This window comes from Homo sapiens, chromosome 12 (assembly GCF_000001405.40).
Source record: "Homo sapiens chromosome 12, GRCh38.p14 Primary Assembly".
Lineage (NCBI taxonomy): Eukaryota > Metazoa > Chordata > Mammalia > Primates > Hominidae > Homo > Homo sapiens.
In genome coordinates, this window is record NC_000012.12 from 119,867,605 (window position 1) to 119,887,700 (window position 20,096).

The 20,096-nt window shown below is 43.7% G+C and overlaps 1 protein-coding gene across 12 annotated transcripts in view, besides 3 other annotated features; it reads right to left on the minus strand.

Annotated features, from left to right (window-relative positions):
- The window catches only part of CIT (citron rho-interacting serine/threonine kinase), a 191,530-nt gene extending 181,814 nt beyond the window's left edge, over positions 1-9,716 (minus strand). For all 12 annotated transcript variants that reach the window (XM_011537788.2, XM_011537787.2, XM_047428134.1 and 9 more), the window contains exons 1-3: positions 9,645-9,716; positions 8,469-8,577; positions 1,456-1,597 (exon numbers count right to left, since the gene is read on the minus strand). In XM_011537788.2, coding sequence (XP_011536090.1) covers positions 1,456-1,597; positions 8,469-8,564 — 238 coding nt within the window. In that variant the 5' untranslated portion in view covers positions 8,565-8,577; positions 9,645-9,716. The remainder of the gene's footprint in view (positions 1-1,455; positions 1,598-8,468; positions 8,578-9,644) is intronic.
- Positions 1,294-2,493: an enhancer, noted in NCBI's record as "MED14-independent group 3 enhancer chr12:120306702-120307901 (GRCh37/hg19 assembly coordinates)". NCBI's record gives its function as "activates an origin of replication core promoter dependent on BRD2, BRD4, P300/CBP and CDK7 cofactors, and independent of MED14, by STARR-seq in HCT116 cells {active_cell/tissue: HCT116}" and the evidence as "EXISTENCE:reporter gene assay evidence [ECO:0000049][PMID:35650434]".
- Positions 9,106-9,165: an enhancer, noted in NCBI's record as "active region_7118". NCBI's record gives its function as "activates an Ori minimal core promoter by ATAC-STARR-seq in GM12878 lymphoblastoid cells {active_cell/tissue: GM12878}" and the evidence as "EXISTENCE:reporter gene assay evidence [ECO:0000049][PMID:35858748]".
- Positions 9,396-9,475: a silencer, noted in NCBI's record as "silent region_4931". NCBI's record gives its function as "represses an Ori minimal core promoter by ATAC-STARR-seq in GM12878 lymphoblastoid cells {active_cell/tissue: GM12878}" and the evidence as "EXISTENCE:reporter gene assay evidence [ECO:0000049][PMID:35858748]".

The window sequence follows — 20,096 nt, forward strand, 5'->3', positions numbered from 1 at the left end:
GTTATGGGGGCTGCTTTGTGCACTGTAAGGTGTTTGGTGGCATCTCTGGCCTCACCCATTAACTGACAGTAGGACCCTTCCCCCCAAACTCACACACCACCACCCCCAACTAGCTCTGACAACCGAAAACGTCAAATCACCCACTGGTTGAAAAACACTAATGTAAGAGTATGAAACTGGGACACTAACAGCCAACTGCCTCATCACATGGAAGTCAAGCAAAGTCAGAAACAGGGTGAAGGCAAGGCCAATATATGACTTCATAGGCCCTAGGTACTTTTGCCTTCCTCAGCCCCTTCCTCCATTAAAAACAAAAAAGAATTCAAAAATTATATTTTATGGGGCCAGGCATGGTGGCTCACACCTGTAATCCCAAAGCTTTGGGAGGCTGAGGCAGGAAGACTGCTTCAAGCCTGGAGTTTGAAACCAGCCTGGGTAACATAGTAAGACCCTATCTCTACAGAGAAAAAAGCAAAAATTAGCTGGGCGTGGTAGTGTGAGCCTGTAGTCCCAGCCACTGGGGTGGAAGGATTGCTTGAGCCTAGAAGGTTGAAACTGCAGTGAGCCATGATATACCACTGCAATCCAGCCTGGGTAATAGGGCAAGACTCTGTCTCCAAAAAAAACAAAAATTATATTTTATGACTACATTAGTATAAAGATGAATGTAATCCAGAATCATTATACATTATTATATTCATTTTTCCTATAATTTTAAAACAAATTAAAATTTAATTCAGTTAATTAAAAGTAATTAAATTCATTAAAATTAAATATCACAGATCCTAAGCACCGTGCCTACTCTGCCTAATAGAAAGTCAGCCCTGAGTGAGTATAAGGACAGGGCCACGGGATATTATTGAGGTCTCTGGAACTAGCTATGCCTAAAGCTAAAACTTAACTCATTCCTGGATTTCTCAGTTTCATGAGCCAATAAATTCACTCTTTTATTCACACAGGGTCTCACTCTGTCACCCAGACTGGAGTGCAATGGCACAATCACAGCTCATTGAGCCTCAACCTCCCGGGCTCCAGTGATCCTCCCACCTCAGCCTCCTCAGCAGCTGGGACCACGGGTGCAAGCCACCATACCCAGCTAATTTTTGTATTTTTTGTAGAGATGGGGTTTCACCATGTTGCCCAAGCTGGTCTTGAACTCCTGGGCTCAAGCGATTCACCCACCTCAGCTTCCCAAAGGGCTGAGATTATAGGTATGAGCCATTGCACCTGGCCTAAATTCAGTCTTTGAATTAAGTTTGTCGCTTGCAACCAAGAAGCCCAACTTACCTGGTCTCCCAGCTATAAGAGGTGCAGCCTGAATTTGAACCTGGATCTGTCTTATATAGAACCAGAGTTCTTACCGACTACTATCAACCAGTAACTCATTCTGCCTCAAGCATCTTTCTAGTTTTTCTCTCTCAGGACAGTTTTCAAGAAAAAGTTCCCCAAACTTACACTTCCGGACAAAGTTGCTCACGTGCTTAATCTTCATCAGAGCAGGCTGACTGCATTCTTCAAAGAGAACAAAGAGGGCATCTAATATCCCTTCTCGGGAAAGAGGAGACATCTGCTGTTGAGTCATAAAGGGTGGTTTCCCCTAAAAACAGCAAACAGCAGATGGAGACACTGTCAATAATGAAAAGCTTTGATCAATAACATCCACACAGAGTAAATTACAAGCCACCAACTCAACTAACTGCTCACGACATGCTAACAGCACAATTCTGTGGCTTCATTCTTTAAAGCAACGTCAACTGACAGTCATTATGGTATCACTTCCATGATTCCAAGACTGTGGGTTTCTTTCACCAGCACCTGGGAAGGAAAACTGCACAAGCGTGGCCATTAACAAGAAAAGCTCCCTCACTCCTGAGGGTCTGAGGCTAGTGAGAATATTTCCTCTGGATCCTCTGGCTCTGACATGCTTCCATGTTTCTACAATAGGAAACAATGGGTTTTTCACTTCTTTCATGTGTGCCCAGGGGTTTATTCATATAATTTCAGCTTTTTTAATTCATTTGAACAACCTAGAGTAATAAGAACTGAGTGACCATCGTAAAGCCAAATTTACTCATGATCTGGAGAAATAGTTACAAACTGGCAGACTGTCTCTAGCCCACAGATATGTTTTGTTTGGCCTGTAGTGTTTAAGATAATTTGAATTATCTGCCAATATTTCAAAATCAGGAGATTCCATACAAAAAAATAAAAATGGAGTCTCTGGCTTCTTTTGAAACACTGGCACATCCGGCAACACTGCCTCGCCTTCCTGCCTGATGACGCTGAGCTGGAGCTGAGTAATGCTGCCCCTCCCGGTAGCAGATGTGTTTGGGAGTTCACTGCAGGTCTGACTCCATCTTCCAACTGGCCCACTTGACTCATTTATACTCACTGCCTGGCCCCCAAAGACATGAGTCTGCAACCCTGGTATAGAGCAGTGATTCCCACGTGCCAAGCCATGGATAGTGGTGGTCTCTCTTCAAAGATGGCCTCCAACAGTTCCTCCAATTCTGTAGGCACATGCTACTCCTTACTTTAAGCGCTGGAGTCTATTTCTCCTGCCTTTGAATCTGTGCCATCTCTGAGACTCTCTTCAACCAAAAGAATGTGACACAAGTGACACTGTGCCAGTTCAGGGCAGTGCCTTTAAGAAGCTTGTCAAGCGGCCAGACACGGTGGCTCACATCTGTAATCCCAGCACTTTGGGAGGCCAAGACGGGTGGATCACTTGAGGTCAGGAGTTTGAGACCAGCCTGGCCAACATGGTGAAACCCTGTCTCTACCAAAATACAAAAATTAGCCAGGCGTGGTGGTAGGCACCCGTAATCCCAGCTACCTGGGAGGTTGAGGCATGAGAATTGCCTGCACCCGGGAGATGGAGGTTGCAGTGAGCCGAGATCACACCACCGCACTCCAGCCTAGGCAACACAGTGAGACTCCCTCTCAAAAAAAAAAAAAAAAAAAAAAAAGGCAGCTTAGCAGCTTCCACTTTTGGGAAGCCAGCCACCATGCACAGATGCTTGGGCTAGACCAGGGGTGTGCAATCTGTAGCCCTTGGACCAAATCCAGCCCACGGACTTTTTATAAGTTTTACTGGAACACAGCTACACCCATCATTTACATATTGTCTTTAGCTGCTTTTGTGCTACCATGGCCAAGTTGAGTGGTTGCAACAGAGACTACAGGACCCACAAAGCCTAAAATATTTATTACTTACAAAAAAAGTTACGAGTCAGCCAGGTGCAGTGGCTCACACCTGTAATTCCAACACTTTGGGAGGCCGAGGCAGGCGGATCGCGAGGTCAGAAGTTCGAGACCAGCCTGACCAACGTGGTGAAACCCCATCTCTACTAAAAATGCAAACATTAGCCGGGCGTGGAGGCACGTGCCTGTAATCCCAGCTACTCGGGAGGCTGGGGCAGGAGAATTGCTTGAACCCAGGAGGCGGAGGTTGCAGTGAGCAGAGATCGTGCCACTGCACTCCAGCCTGGGCGACAGGGCGACAGTCTGTCTTAAAAAAAAAAAAAAAGTTACGAGTCCTGGGCTATACTACTGAAAGACCTCATGGAGAAGAGAGGCCATGTGAGAAACACTAAGGTGCCCCAGCCAGCAGTCAGCACCCACATGTTCCAGTCCCAGACATAATCCCAGCTGAATGTAGCCCCACAAGTGACCCCAGCTGACATCACAGGATGAAGCAGAACTACCTAGCTGAGTCCAGCCAACCCACAGAATCCTAAGAAAAAATAAATCATTGTTGCTTTAAACTTTGTGAGTGCTTTGTTACACAGCACTTGATAACAGAAACAGACCGGCTGCATTTGAATCACAACAGCACTGGAGAATTTAAGAAAAACAAACAAACAAACAAACACATTCTCTGGTCCTATGCCCCCCTCCCCCACAACCAAATGAATTAGAATTTTCCAGACTGTAGCCTAGAATCTGTTTTATTAACAAGTTCCCCAGCAGGGAGAGGTGGCTCACACCTGGAATACTAGCACTTTGGGAGGCCAAGGTGGGAGGATCACTTGAGCCCAGGAGTTCAAGACCAGCCAGGGCAACACAGCGAGATCCCATCTCTACAAACAAACAAAAAAAAATTAGCCAGGTGTAGTGCCATGGTCCTGTAGTCCTAGCCACTTGTGAGACTGAGGTAGAAGGATCACTTGAGCCCAAGAAGTAAAGGCTGCAGTGAGCCAAGATTGTGCTGCCACACTCCAGCCTGGGCAACAGAATGAGACCCTGGTCCCCAAGAGAGTCAGACCTCAATCAGGTTTGGGAAGCACTGCATTCAAGGCCACCATATCTGTCACTTTAGTAATAGTTGCCAGTAACTCAGAAAAATAAAATGCTTTGTTTCTTCTATTCTTCAAGAGTTTAGATCAATTAAAGCAGGGGTTCCCAAATATAGTACTGGTTCTTAACAAAGTTTTCAACAGCCTGCAGTGAAATGAGAAAAAATGAACACCACATGATATCTTTTTTATAAAACTAAATGTATTCAAATTTAAAAATGGTCCTTTATTCTGAGATGATGTTCTTCCTGTCTTGTTGTTTCTTAAAATGCCCTTTATGAAATACAAGGGCCAGAAAATAATAGGTCTTTCTTTTTATTTTTTTTTTATATATCCTTACTTGGCAAAATAAAAAGTTGGAAAACCTGTGTCTACCCAGCAATTTGGGAAATTTTGCTGGCTCAGAAAGTCTGACAATCACTGACCTCGAACATGTCAGGAAATCCTGTTGAGTAGAAGTAAAAAAGACAAAATGACACTCAGTCTAAGGTACTCACCTGAATGGAAAACAAAATTGCTACTGTATCTCAACCTCATTCAAACAGCACTATATGGGAAAAGAACAAACAGCATCCTTACCTGATAACTCAAGGCAAATGATAGGTATATACTATACTTGCAATAATAGCTTTACTGGGCAGGGGGATCTCAGCATTAAAAAGAGATGAACTGAGGGTTTACCCATAAGTCTTCCTGTTATAATGACTAAATACAAGATATACTTAATAAATTCTGACGTGCACAGGTGCTGTGGCCCAATGGCTATGTGGTCAGCCTTTGGAGTCAGACCAACCAAAGATGGAGTCTGATCTTGGCCTCATCTGCAAAACCCAACGTGTATGATCTTGGGCAAGGCCTTACCTACCTCCATATCTGTCTATATCTGTTGCCTCCTATTTATGTATTTATTTAGAAACAGGGTCTCGTTCTGTTGCCCAGGCTGGAGTGCAGTGTTGCAATCTCAACTCACTACAACCTCTGCCTCCGGGGCCCCAGAGATGCCCCCACCTCAGCCTCCTGAGTAGCTGGGACTACAGGCACACACCGCCATGCCTGACTAATTATTTATATTTTTTGTAGAGATGGGGTTTCACCATTTTGCCCAGGCTAGTCTTGAACTCTTGGACTCAAGCAATCCACCTGCCTCAGCCTCCCAAAGTACTGGGATTACAGGTGTGAGCCACCACACCTGGCCTGTTGCCTCCTATTTAAAGTTTAAATTAAAAATAGTCCTTACCTCTGTCATGAGGCTGAAGTGAGATACTCAGAAACATGCCAGTTCTATGCCAGACACATTGGAAGCCATAACTATTACATAATCAGCACACTATAAGCCCTTAATAAGTTGGAAATTTTTTTCCTTTTCTTTTTTTTTTTTTTTTTAATTTACAGGGTCTTGCTCTGTCGCCTAGGCTGAAGTGCTGAAGTGCAGTGGCACAATCTTAGCTCACTGCAACCTCTGCCTCTAGGGCTCAAGTGATCCTCCTGCCTCAGCCTCCCGAGTAGCTGGGACTACAGGCACACACCATCACAGTCAGCTATTTTTTGTGTTTTTAGTAGAAACGGAGGGGCTCACCATGTTGCCCGGGCTGCTCTCGAACTCCTGACCTCAAGCAATCCACCCACCTCAGCCTCCCAAATTGCTAGGATTACAGGCGTGAGCCACCACGCCCAGCAAGTTGGAGATATTTTAAAGTAGCATGATAAAGGGGCTGAAACGTGGCAGCACTCCAGCCATCTAAGGTTAAAGACAGACTATTCATTTGTGAAAGATATGTCAAGACTTAAAATGCTGATGGGGATGGTCCCACAGAAAAACCTAAGCTTTCAATTTGTTTCCACTCTCATCTGTTTAAACACCCAATACCAATATTTTGGAAAAAAAAAAAAGTTATCAAGAATACTTCATCATTCATCATCTTACAGGTATCCTACATAACTACCTTCCCAAATATAATTACTATTAAGGAAACAAATTTAGTATTAATATTATAACTAATACTATTCTATGCTGAGTATTAACAATAATTACCATTTTTTATAAGGAGTTTACTAAGAGCCAGGCAAGGTGCTAAGTGCTTTAAATCGAATATCTCATCTAATCCTCACAACAACCCTGTGGATTAGGTACTACAACCTCTATGTTATTTTTTTTGTTTTCTTTTGTTTTGTTTTGTTTTGAGATGGAGTCTTACCCACTCTGTCGCCCAGGCTGGAGTGCAGTGCACCATCTCGGCTCACGACAACCTCCGCCTCCCGGGTTCAAATGATTCTCCTGCTTCAGCTTTTCAAGTAGCTGGGATTACAGGTACATGCGACCACCATGCCCAGCTAATTTTCTATATTTTTAGTAGAGACAGGGTTTCACCACGTTGTCCAGGCTGGTCTCGAACCCGTGACCTCAAGTAATCCGCCCGCCTCAGCCTCCGAAAATACTGGCATTACAGGCTACAACCTATTTTAAAGAATAGCAAATGGACTCAGAAAAGGTAACTGACTCACCCAAAGTAATGCAGCTAACTAGTGCTGGGACTGGGATTCAATTCTAAATCTTCATGGTCTCTATTGTCCCCCTGACTTACGAATACATAAATCAAACAAGGATTTCTACTTCACCAGTGTTCCACATACATCAGAAACAAAAGAATTAAAAATCTATTTGGAAGTAATCTTATGATATTAAGTTTTAACGCATCTGGGGTGACAGAAATGTGTATCTTGAGAGGAATGAGGGTTAAACAGGTGTGGTATTCATCAAAACTTTTTTTAAAATCTTAAAAAATACCATCCTGACTAACACAGTGAAACCCCGTCTCTACTAAAAATACAAAAAATTAGCCGGGCGAGGTGACGGGCGCCTGTAGTCCCAGCTACGTGGGAGGCTGAGGCAGGAGAATGGCGTGAACCCCGGGGGGCAGAGCCTGCAGTGAGCCGAGATCGCGCCACTGCACTCCAGCCTGGGCGACAGCGAAGACTCTGTCTCAAAAAAAAAAAAAAAAAATCTTAAAAAATAAACATCCCTGCAATGAAAATGAATAGGATTATACCCACAGAAATTGTAGTTTTAAAAAGCATCTTTGTTCATTTATTTTTCTTTCTTCAATAAAAGGACAAACTTGCCCTGGTACAGGGGCTTATGCCTGTAAGCCCAACACTTGCAGAAGCTGTGACAAGTAGATCACTTGAGCCCAGGAATTCGAGACCTGCCTGGGCAACATGGTGAAACCTCATCTCTACAAAAAATACAAAAATTAGCCAGGTATGGTGGCACACACCTGTGGTCCCAGCTACTCAGGAAGCTGAAGTGGGAGGATCGTTTGAGCCCAGGAGGTCAAGGCTGCAGTAAGCCGTGATTGTGCCAATGCACTCCAGCCTGAGCCACAGAGCAAGACCCTGTCTTGCAAGCAACCAATCAATCAATGAATGAATAAACTTTAGTACAGAAGTGTAAAGTGTGAGAAATATGAAAAGATCTCCCTTCTAAGGCAAGTTCAGCTATCTACTTCTGCACAGTGTCTTTTTTCCAAAAGAATCAGTGCATATAAAACTCTAAATAGAGGGCCAGGTGCAGTGGCTCACACCTATAACCCCAGTGCTTTGGGAGGCCAAGGCAAGAGGCTCACTTGAAGTCAGGTGTTCTATATCAGCCTGGGCAACACAGTGAGACCCCATCCCTACAAAAAATTAAAAAATTAGCCAGGCATGGTGGCACAGGCCTAGAGTCGACAGAAGACCTTGTTTCAAACAAAACAAAACAGAATTTCCCCTAAAATATTATCCCTGGTCCTATAATAAAAGCAAGCTGGGCACGGTTCATGCCTGTAATCCCAGCACTTTAGGAGGCCAAGGCAGGTGGATCACTTGAGGTCAGGAGTTCGACCCTAGCCTGGCCAACATGGTGAAACCCCGTCTCTACTAAAAAGAAAAATACAAAATTTAGCCGGGTGTGGTGGCAGGCGGCTGTAGTCCCAGCTACTCTGGAGGCTGAGGCAGGAGAATCGCTTGAACCCAGGAGGCGGAGGTTGCAGTGAGCTGAGATTGCACCACTGTACTCCAGCCTGAGAGACTGAGACTCTAAATAAATAAACAAATAAATAAAAGCAAAGGTGAGTGACAAGGAGATTCCAAGGACACACACAGGTGAGCAAAGTTGGCAGGGTAGGCTGTTACCTGGAAGAACAGATTCAGCCTGGAGGCCCGGCTGGCAATGGGTTCAGCAGCACCAGCATCCAAAGGATTCCGCGCTCCATATTTGAACTTCAACATCTCCCCACTGGCGCTGAAAGGATATCAGAAAAGTCAAGTGTGTCCTATGTTTTGAGCAGGAAGGGCCTGAGAGATCCTGATCTCCCTCAAGATATCAGGGACAAGGAGGTGAAAATCAGCTACCACTCCAGTTTTAGGAAGCTCAGTCTAATCATGGAGATTAAACACCAGATTTTAACTCACTGTGACAGGAGATGATACACTTATCTGACATACTCTCTTACTTATAAATGTGTTTATTATCTCCCCCCTTAGAATGGAAGCTCCACAAGGGCAGAGATGTTTGCCCCCATGCAGTGGGGGCACACATAGCCTGGCACACAAATAGGTGCGAATAGTTATTAAATGAATGACTGAAATAAGCAAAATATATAGCTTGTTGTAAGGTGTTAAGTGCTATGGGGTAAAAACAAAATCGAGCAAGAAAAGGACAATGGGGGTGAGATGGTGCAATTTTTAGTGTGGTCAAATAAGACTTCACTGAGAAGCCACCATTTGACCCAAGACTTGAAGACCTGAAGCGAATGACCAGCAAGCCATGTTGATATCTGGGGAAAGAAAGACATCCGTGGCAAACGAAACAGCCAAGCCAAAAGCACTGAGGCAGGACCTGGCCTCTCCAGCAACAGCGAGGCCAGACGGACTGGAGCAGAGCGAAAGAGGCGGGGGCATCATGAGGTGATGGGGTGGGCACGGGGTATGAATACGCTGAAACAGAGAGGTTAAGTAAATGGCTAAGTTCACGCAGATAATAAGGAACCGGCCGACTACACTGGGCAGAATAATGCAGTTAGTGCTGACAGGAGGCAGAGCTGAAGAGACAAAGCACTCCGCCTGGTTTAGGGGAGGAGCAAGCCTCCTGCCCCAGCACCACTCGGCTGACCCCTCGGCTCCCAAGGAAGGTGGGCGCGCGCACAGCTAGCCCCGGAAGACCCTCCAGGCCTCCCGCAGCCCTGGGGGTGGAATCGCCGCCCTCCCCGGGGCGGGAGGGAAACCCGGGACTTGTATGGGTGGAGGCGGCCCTCCCCTGGCCTTGCAGAGCCGGGTGCGGTAGAATTGGGTCTGGGGGATCAGACTCACGCTCTGCGAACCCCCAGGTCTGCGATCTGTTCCGCCCCGCGCCTCCCGCCGCCGCGTTTGAACCCGAGGAACGGCGCGGGCGGGTCTCAGCCGTGTTTGGACCAATCAGCGTCTCCGCTCCTATGATAGACATGGGCGTCTCAGCCAGGCCCCGCCCATGTCCCTAAAGGCATGGAGGAAAGTGAAGGGGAGAGCCAATCAAATTGCATCTTCCTTTGACTCGCGACCAACGGGAAAAAGGGAAGGGCAAAATCAGCAGGGCAGGTCTTGGAAGTTTGAAATTGGCGGTTACGCAGGATGCTGCGTTTGAGGACGCGACTGTTAATCTAGGATCCCTGAGGAGGTCGCCAGGGCGCTGTCCCCTGCTCTCGGCCACCTGCAAGGAGGAAGGCAGCCAGGCTGCTCTGCCTGGTCTTCTTTCTCTCTCATGTGGCTAAGGTAGAAGTACTTGTTACCTGGGGAAGCCCAGTGGTCCTCTGCTACAGCTGAGGCAGCGAATGTTTTGAGCTTGACTTCAACCTACCTTGATTACTCTATCTCCGGGCTGACTGCCCTGCAAGGAGTTGGTGACAGTCATTGAGACTGTCTGAAAGGACACTTTAAAATAAATTATAGACGAGATACTTAAACAGGCACTTCACCAAAAAGGAAATCCAGATGACCAACAAATGTGTGAAAGTTGTCAACCTCGTTCATAATCAGAAAATATGAAAAATAAAGTCACAGTGAGAAAGAATAACACTCAAATTCGAGAACAACAACAACAAAAGGATGTGACAGTGTTTGCGAAGATGTGGAAGTACACACACTTATACAGTACCCGTAGGCGTGTAAATGGATACAATCTCTTTGAAATTTGAAAAAAAAGTTTGGCATTATTTGCTAACATTGAAGATTTGTGCATTCTATGACTATTGCTAGGTGTAGTTTCTCTACCTAAGAAAAACTCCTATTTATTTATTTATTTTGAGATGGAGTCTTGCTCTGTCTCCCAGGCTGGAGTGCAATGGCACGATCTCGCCTCACTGCAACCTCCACCTCCCAGGTTCAAGCTATTCTCTTGTCTCATCCTCCCAAGTAACTGGGATTACAGGTGCATGCCACCATGCCCAATTGTTTGTATTTTTAGTAGAGATGGGGTTTCACCGTGTTGTCCAGGCTGGTCTTGAACTCCTGACCTCGAGTGATCTGCCCACCTCGGCCTCCCAAAGTGCTGAGATTACAGGCCCTGAGCCACCACGCCGGCGAGAAACTCCTACTTATGTACACCAAGAGATGTGTATAAGAATACAAAATAGTGTTCGCAAAAAACTGGAAGTGATATAAATGTCCATCAGCAGTAGAAAAGACAAAATTGTATATTGCAGTGTTTTCACAAGCAATGAAAAAGAATAAACTGCAACTAACCACAATGACATAATGAGTCTCAAAACAAGGCCTAATGAAGGAAGCAAGAAAATAACATATGATTCCATTATGATTCCATTCTTATAAGTTCCAAAACAGGACAAAACAAAGCAACATTGTTTAAGGAGGGATGTATTAGGTTGATGCAAATCATTGCAGTTTTTGTCATTGTTTAAAGTAATGACAAAACCATAAAGAAAGCAACAGCCAGAATAGTAGTTACCTGGGGTTGGGATGGAGGCCTTTCAGGGTGTTGGGGTGCTGCTGTGATCTATTTCTTAACCTAGGTAGCAACAATATGGATGTGGTTTCATAATGATTAAATTGTGTGTATATGTGTGCACGCATGTGTGTGTGTGTATGTTCTATTTATATATGTAAAGTCCTTTTTGTACTCTCCTAATTCTACAGTAGACAGAACTGGAGATGTGTTCTCTCTCTCACACACACACACACACACACGCACACCAGCACATAATTAGAGCTACAGGCTTGCTTAATACACATTTGTTCTTTTTTCCTTCCCCAAACATAACTTACTTCTTGTTCCCGGGGCCAATAATGGATAGCTACTATTTATCAAGCACCTCTTTTTTTTTCTTTTTTCTTAGACAGAATCTCACTCCGTCACCCAAGCTGGAGTTCAGTGGCACAATCACGGCTTACTGCAGCTTCCACCTCTCCAGGCTCAAGTGATCATCCCACCTCAGCCCTTCCAGTAGCTGGGACCACAAGAATGTACCACCATGCCTGGCTGTTTTTTTGTTTTTTTGGGTTTTTTTTTTTGTAGAGATGGGGTCTCCCTATGCTACCCAAGCTGATCTCAAATTCCTGTACTCAAGCAATCATCCTGCCCCGACCTCCCAAAGTGCTGGGATTACAGGTGTGAGCAACTGCGCCCAGCCCAGAAACTTCTATATAAAGAAAATAACTGGCCAGACCCAATGGCTCATGCCTGTAATCCCAACACTTTGGGAGGCCAAGATTGGTGGATCACTTGAGGTCAGAAATTTGAGACCAGACTGGCCAATGTGGTAAAACCCCATCTCTACTAAAAATACAAATTAGCCTGGCGAGGTGGCAGGTGCCTGTAATCCCAGCTACTCAGGAGGGTAAAGCAGGAGAATCACTCGAACCTGGGAGGCGGAGGTTGCAGTGAGCTGAGATCTCACTTGCCACTGCACTCCAGCCTGGGTGAGACAGTGAGACTCGGTAAAAAAAAAAAAGAATAATTATCATTGGCTGAGTGCTTTCTAGGTTTCTAGGTGCAAGCCTTCAATAGCCCCTGAAGTAGGCACTATTATTAGCATCCACCCCTATGGAAAGGAGCCACTCTCACGCTGGCTCAGAGGCAAATATCCCAGATATTCCCTGTTTCCCAAAGATGTGTCCCCACAACTGGTATGAGCAACACTTTCAAGTGGCAAAAAAAGTCACTTATTTGTTAAATTATATATTTTACTATATGTTAGAAAAACTATAGCTAGCCCATCCAACCAAGTATTTTATAGATGATACCACTTGGAGTGAGACCAAAGGAAATATTTAAGAAGAAAAAATGAGCCAGTAAAGGAAATATTAAGTAAACAGTAGTACAGGTTGTACATGGGTATAGCTTTAGAACAAATCTTGAAATTTGGGAAACACTGCATCATTTGACATAATTCTTAAGCAAGCCTCTGAAGTAGGCATTATTGTTAGCAACCCCATTTTACCAGCAGAGAAATTCAAGCTTAGAGAAATTAAGTCACATACTAGTAAACAGTGGAGCCAGGACATCAGTTGGTTCTTTCATTCTAAAGCCCATTTTGATAACCACCAAACTGTATTGACTTATGTTTATCCCAGCACCTAGCACATAATATTTATAAATATTTGTGGACTAAATGATGAAATCTAACTCCATGTGCATTTGATTACAATTTAATTACTTCTTTCCAGCCTACCAACAATCAACTTTGCAGGCTCTCAATAGAAGTGTACTGAATTTACAAATGAATTGCCTTCTGATTCTACACACACCATTTATTATACCTTCTCATGGTGCAGGTATTCCAGAAGCAGTGGTTCACAACCTTGCATTCACACTGAGATCACCTGGGAAGCTTTAAAATAACATTGATACCTGGGCCCCATCCTTGGAGATCCTCATTTCACTGTTCCAGGATCAAGCCTAGGAATTGGAAGTTGATCAAGCTCCCCAAGTGATATGGTTTGGCTGTGGCCCCACCCAAATCTCATCTTGAATTCCCACGTGTTGTGGGAGGGACCTGGTGGGAGGTAATTGAATCATGGTGGCAGGTCTTTCCTGTGGTGTTCTCATGATAGAGAATAAGTCTTATGAGATCTGATGGTTTTATAAGGGGGAGATTCTCTGCACAAGCCCTCTTCTCTTGTCTGCCACCATCCACATAAGATGTGAGTTGCTCCTCCTTGCCCTCTGCCATGATTGTGAGGCTTCCCCAGCCATGTGGAACTGCAAGTCCATTAAACCTCTTCCTTTTGTAAATGCCCAGTCTCAGGTATGTCCTTATCAGCAGTGTGAAAACAGACTAATACACCAAGTGACCCCAATGTGCAGCCAATGTCATGAACCACTTGCCTAGAAAGGGCAAATATACTACTAACCAAATGTCAAAGTGTATTTTTCATTGTAAGTTAATAAACTGACAATGTGGCTTTATTATCAATCTTTGTTAACAAGAGTCCGTCCCTATGGAGAGGACCCACTCTCACACTGGCTCAGATGCAAAGTGGATACCTCAGAATGGGCCTTCCAGTCCTTGCTCTGTGATCTACTATGGTGAAACCAAAGAGGGTGATGGCTAAGTAATTTAACAGAAGGAGACTGGGGAGTATGGGTTATACTCGGCTTAAGTAAGGACTGAATTCTAAAATAAGTGTTTCGTGTTTTCATATTTGGAGCCTTAAGTGAAGATGGGTATACAAAAGGAAGAGATTCCCAAGCACTATACACAAGCAAAGGACATACAACTTGATTTCCTCTCCACTTTCTTCTGTCCTTTTCTCTTCTTTCCCCTCACTTTCTCTCATTCCAATGGTGTTCCATTTGAGGTTTTAAACTGAAATGGAGGCCGGGCATGGTGGCTCATGCCTGTAATCCTGGCACTTTGGGAGGCCAAGGCATAAGGATCACCTGAAGTTGGTCAGGAGTTCAAGATCAACCTGGCCAACATGGTGAAACACCATCTCTACTAAAAATACAAAAAAATCGGCCAGGCAGAGTGGCACATGCCTATAATCCCAGCTACTCAGGAGGCTGAGGCAGGAGAATCATTTGAACCCAGGATGCGGAGGTTGCAGTGAGCCAAGATCTCACCATTGCACTCCAGCCTGGGTGACACAGTGAGACTCTGTCTCAAAAAATAAAATTAAAAAATTAAAAAATTAACTGAAATGGAAATCAAATTCTAGACACTTGATCTTTCTAGCCTAGCAACAGTCAACTTTGTAGGCTCTCAATAAAAGTTTATTGAATTCACATATGAACAAACTTCTGATTCTGCACACATCATTTAACCTCTGAGCCTAAATTTTTGCCTAGCTATAGGGAGATTTAAAAGCTAAGAGATGTGAAATGCTTTGTAAAATCTAAAGCCAGCAACTCACAAACTGGGAGAAAAATGTGTAAATCAAATATCTAATGAGAAACTAGCATCCATTATGTACAAAGAATTCCTACAGTCTGACAATAAAAAACAAATAGCCCAATTTAAAAACGAGCAAAAGATTTGAACAGACAATTCTCCAAAAAATATATGCCAATAGCCAAAAAGCACGTGAAAAGATGCCCAACAACATTAGTCATTAGGGAAATGCAAATCAAAATCACAATAACACTTCATGTCCCCTGGGATAGTTATAAATAAACAGAAAGACAATAACAAGTATTGGTGAGGGTGTAAGAAAATGGATCCCTCCTAAACTGCTGGTGGGAATGTAAAATGATTCAGCCACTTTGGAATACAGTTTGGCAGTTCCTCAAAAAGTTAAACAGAGCAACAGTATGACCTAACATCTTCCTCCCTAGGCATATAACCAAAAGAAATAAAAACATGGCCGGGCGCGGTGGCTCACGCCTGTAATCCCAGCACTTTGGGAGGCCGAGGCTGGCAGATCACGAGGTCAGGAGATCGAGACCATCCTGGCTAACACGGTGAAACCCCGTCTTTACTAAAAATACAAAAAATTAGCCGGGGTTGACGGCGGGCGCCTGTAGTCCCAGCCACTCGGGAGGCTGAGACAGGAGAATGGCGTGAACCCTGGAGGCAGAGCTTGCAGTGAGACGAGATCACGCCACTGCACTCCAGCCTGGGTGACAGAGCGAGACTCCATCTCAAAAAAAAAAAAAGAAAGAAATAAAAACATATATCTACACAAACACTTGTATACAAATGGTCCTGACAGCACTATTCACAATAGCCACAAAGTGGAAACTACCCAAATATCTGTCAACTGATGACTGGATAAACAAAAGATGGTATCACCATGCAATGGAATATTATTTGACCATAAAAAGGAGTGAACCACTTAAACATGCTAAGATGTGGATGAGCCTCAAAAACATTATGCTCAGTGAAAGAGTGCAGGTGCAAAAGGCCACATATTGTAAGATTCCATTTACATGAAATATGTAAGAGTATGTAAATCCATAGAGACGAAAGGTAGATTAGTGGGCTATGGAGATGGGGAAATAGGAAGTGATTTACTAGTGGGTACTGGGTACAGAGTTTCCTTCTTTCTTTTTTCTTGTATAGTCAGCGTATTTTATTTTAGTTACTTCAATAGGTGGTGTAGTGGATCCACTGTGGTTTTTGTTTTCAGATTTTATTTTTTTAGAGAAGTTTTAGGTTCACAGCAAAATTGAGAGGAAGGTACGAAGATGTCCCTTACATCCCCCGTCCCCACACATACATACCCTGCCCCATTATCACTATCCTCCACCAGGGTGGTACATTTGTTACAACTGATTAATTGAATGAAACATTATTATCTCTCAGCAATTTGGGAGGCTGAGCTGGGAGGATTGCTTGAGCCCAGGAGTTCAAAACCAGCCTGGGCAACATAGCAAGACACTGTCTCTACAAAAAAAATTTTTAAATTAACTGAGGCATGGTGGCACGCACCTGTAGTCCCAGCTACTCTGGTGGCTGAGATGGGAGGATCGCTTGAGCCTGGGAGGTCAAGACTGCAGTGAGCTATGATTGCATCACTGCACTCCAACCTGGGCAACAGAGCAGGAGCCTATCAAAAAAGAAAGGAAAGAGAGGGAAAGAACGAAGGAAGGAAAGAAGGAAGGAAGGAAGGAAGGAAGGAAGGAAGGAAGGAAGGAAGGAAGGAAGGAAAGAGAGAGGAAAGAGGAAGGAAGGAACGAAGGAAGGAAGGAAAAGAGAGAAGGAGAGAGGGAGAGGGAGAAAGAGAAAGACAGAGAGAAAAAAGAGAGAAAGGGAAAGAAGGGAGAGAAAGAGGAAGAAACATTATTATCACTCAAAATCCATGGTTTACATTCTTGGTATTATACATTCTGTGGGTTTGAACAGGTGTATAATGATATGTATCCACCAATATAGTATCATACAAAGTCTTTTCACTGCCCTAAAAATCCTCTGTGCTTTGCCTATTTATTCATTCTTTCGTTTCTCCAATCCCTGGCAACCACTGATATTTTTACTGTCTCCATAGTTTTACCTTTTCCAGAATGTCATATAGTTGGAATCAGTATGTAGTCTTTTCAGATTGGTGTCTTTCACTTAGGAATACGCATTTAAGTTTCCTCTGTGTTTTTTACATGACATGATACCTCGTTTCTTTTTAACAATGAATAATATTCCTTTGTCTGGATATACCATAATTTATTTATTCATGACCTGCTGAAGGACCTCTTGGTTTCTTACAAGTTTTGGCAGCTGTGAATAAAGCAGTTATAGACAGCCGTGTGCCGGTTTTTGTGTGGACATGTTTTCATTTTCTCTGGGTAAATACCAAGGAGTGTGATTATATTGTACGAATATGTTTACTTTTTTTTTTTTTTTTTTTTTGAGACGGAATCTCACCCTGTTGCTCAGGCTGGAATGCAGTGGCACGATCTCAGCTCACTGCAAGCTCCACCTCCCAGGGTCACGCCATTCTCCTGCCTCAGCCTCCTGAGTAGCTGGGACTACAGGCGCCCGCCACCACGCCTGGCTAATTTTTTTATATTTTTTAGTAGAGATGGGGTTTCACCATGTTAGCCAGGATGGTCTCGATCTCCTGACCTCGTGATCAGCCCGCCTCAGCCTCCCAAAGTGCTGGGATTACAGGCGTGAGCCACCGCGCCCGGCACCATTTTTTAATAAGAAAACACATAACTGTCTTCCAAAGTGGCTGTACCATTTTGCATTCCCACGAGCAATGAATGAAAGTTCCTGTTGCTCCACATCCTTGTCAGCACTTGATATTGTCAGTGTTCTGAATTTTGACCATCCTAATAGGTGTGTACAGAGTTTCTTTTTGGGGTGACAAAAATGTTCTGGAATTAGATAGTAGTGATGATTACACAACTTTGTAAATATACTAAAACTCACTGAATTGTACACTTTTCGAGAGTAAAATTTGTGGTATGTGAATTATACCTCAATTTTGAAAATATTTTTAGGAATGGGGTCTCACTCTGTCACCCAGGCTGGAGTGCAATGGCACAATCATAGCTCACTGTGACCTCGAACTCCTGGGCTCAAGGGATCTTCCCGCCTCGGCCTCCAAAATAGCTAGGACTACAAGTGCATGCCACTATACCCAGTTTGTTTGTTTTTGTAGAGATGAGATCTGGCTTTGTTGCCCAGGCTGGTCTTGAACTCCTGGCCTCAAGCAATCCTCCCAGCTCAGCCTCCCAGAACATTGGGATTACAGGCATGAGCCACTGTGCCTGGCCTCAATTTTTTTAATGTAAAAAAATTTCTAAAGCCAGTATATAAATGTGAAACATCATTTTAACTCAGGGTTTCTCAGTCCCAGGATTGTTGATATTTGGGGCTAGATAATTCTTTGTTGTCGAGGCTCTGCCCTGTGCATTGTAGTATCCCTGGCCTCCGCCCACTAGCACACACACCCCAGCCATGGCAACCGAAGATGTCTGTAAACATTGTCAAATATCTCTTGGAGGACAAAATCACCCTGGATTGAAAAGCACCTGCTATAACTGTATGATGTGAACATTCTCAATGAATTCATTAAATATACTTTAATTAAGCCAGCAGAGCTCACAAAACAACCAAAATACATTGCCCAGTTTTTAAATATTATGACAATTTTAACTGATTATTAGAACTTTCATTCTGATCCCATCACTTTCCCAGTGTTTTCTCCAAGTTTGAACAAATGATTTCCGATGGTTTTTCCCTCTTTGACCTGAGACAAAGCTTTTAACGAGAAAAGCTAAATTTTCAAAACTCAATTAAATGGTAATTAGCCTCCCTGCCATTTGATTTAGGCAATTTTTCTACGGTGTTTTGGTATGTTCATTAATTGTGTTTCTTCAAATGTTATAAGATATAAAAACATATCTCTAATCCTTCAGCCCACTGACTTCAGGAGTGTTTTGTAATTCCCAATCCATTTATAATGCAGGAAACTCAGGCACCTGATTCATACCAACTATTCTCTAAGGACAGCTTTAAAAAAATGTCATCAAATTCATACAGTGATCCGGGTCCCCACTCTGTATACTTAACATAATTGTTACTGATGTCTAATCTACTAGAAAGAGACTAGATGAATGTCAATCTCTCAAAATTGATGCAAAGCATATACTTATTGGAAACTGTGTCTCATGCCTTGGCTAAGCTCCAATAAGTCAAATATCTTGTCCTAGGAATATGATTAAACATGCCCTACATTGGATGGGCACGGTGCCTCACATCTGTAATCTCAGCACTTTGGAAGGCAAGGTGGGCAGATCACTCGAGGCAAGGAGCTTCAGACCAGCCTGGGCAACATGGCGAAACCCCATCTCTACAAAAAAAACACAAAATTTAGCCAGACGTGGTGGTGTGTGCCTGTAGTCCCAGCTGCTTGTGGGGCTGAGGTGAGGGTATTGCTTGAGCCCCAGAGGTGGAGGCTGCAGTGAGCTGCACTCCAGCCTGGGTGACAAAGCAAGACTTTGTCTAAAAAAAAATTTTTTTTAATTATATACATATATATGCCCTATATCTTTCATCTGGGCTTGTCTTAGGCCTGCATATAATAATAACTTTTTAATAAAATTGACTCTCAGTCAGGCATGGTAGCTCATGCTTATAATCCCAGCACTTTAGGAGGCCAGGACGGGTGGATCGCTTGAGGTGAGGAGTTCAAGACCAGCCTGGCCAACATGGGGAAACCCCGTCTTTACTAAAATACAAAAAAAAAAAAAAAAATTAGCTGTGTGTGGTGGCAGACGCCTATAATCCCAGCTACTCGGGAGGCTGAGGCAGGAGAATCACTCGAACCCAGGAGGCAGAGGTTGCAGGAAGCCAAGATTGTGCCACTGCACTCCAGCCTGGGTGACAGAGTGAGACTTCATCTCAAAAATAAATAAATTAATTAATTAATATAATTGACTCCTAACCTTTCCTGTCAATCTAATATTTATTTTTTAAGTCCCTCTCCTATGCCCACGCACTCGAGCTGCACGAGAGAATCCTTTTTTTCTTTTCTTTTCTTTTTTTTTTTTTAAGAGACAGGATCTCACTATGTTGCCCAAGCTGGTGTCAAACTCCTGAGCTCAAGTGATCCTCCCACCTCATTCTCCCAAAGTGTTAGGATTACAGGCATGCGCCACCTCGCCCAGCCAAGAGCAAGAATCATGCCTGTCTTGGTGCAGGCGACAATCCTCAATATCTTACACAGTGCCTGGCCTTTGGTAGTCTCTCAATAAATTTGTATTCTCTGAATTAATGTGTGACTAAATGAATCAATGCACCTATAAGTCAATAAAGTGCTAGATATAAAGGTCAGGTGTAAAAGACACCCTGCTTTAAGTTTTCATATAAGAATGTTGTGACTGTT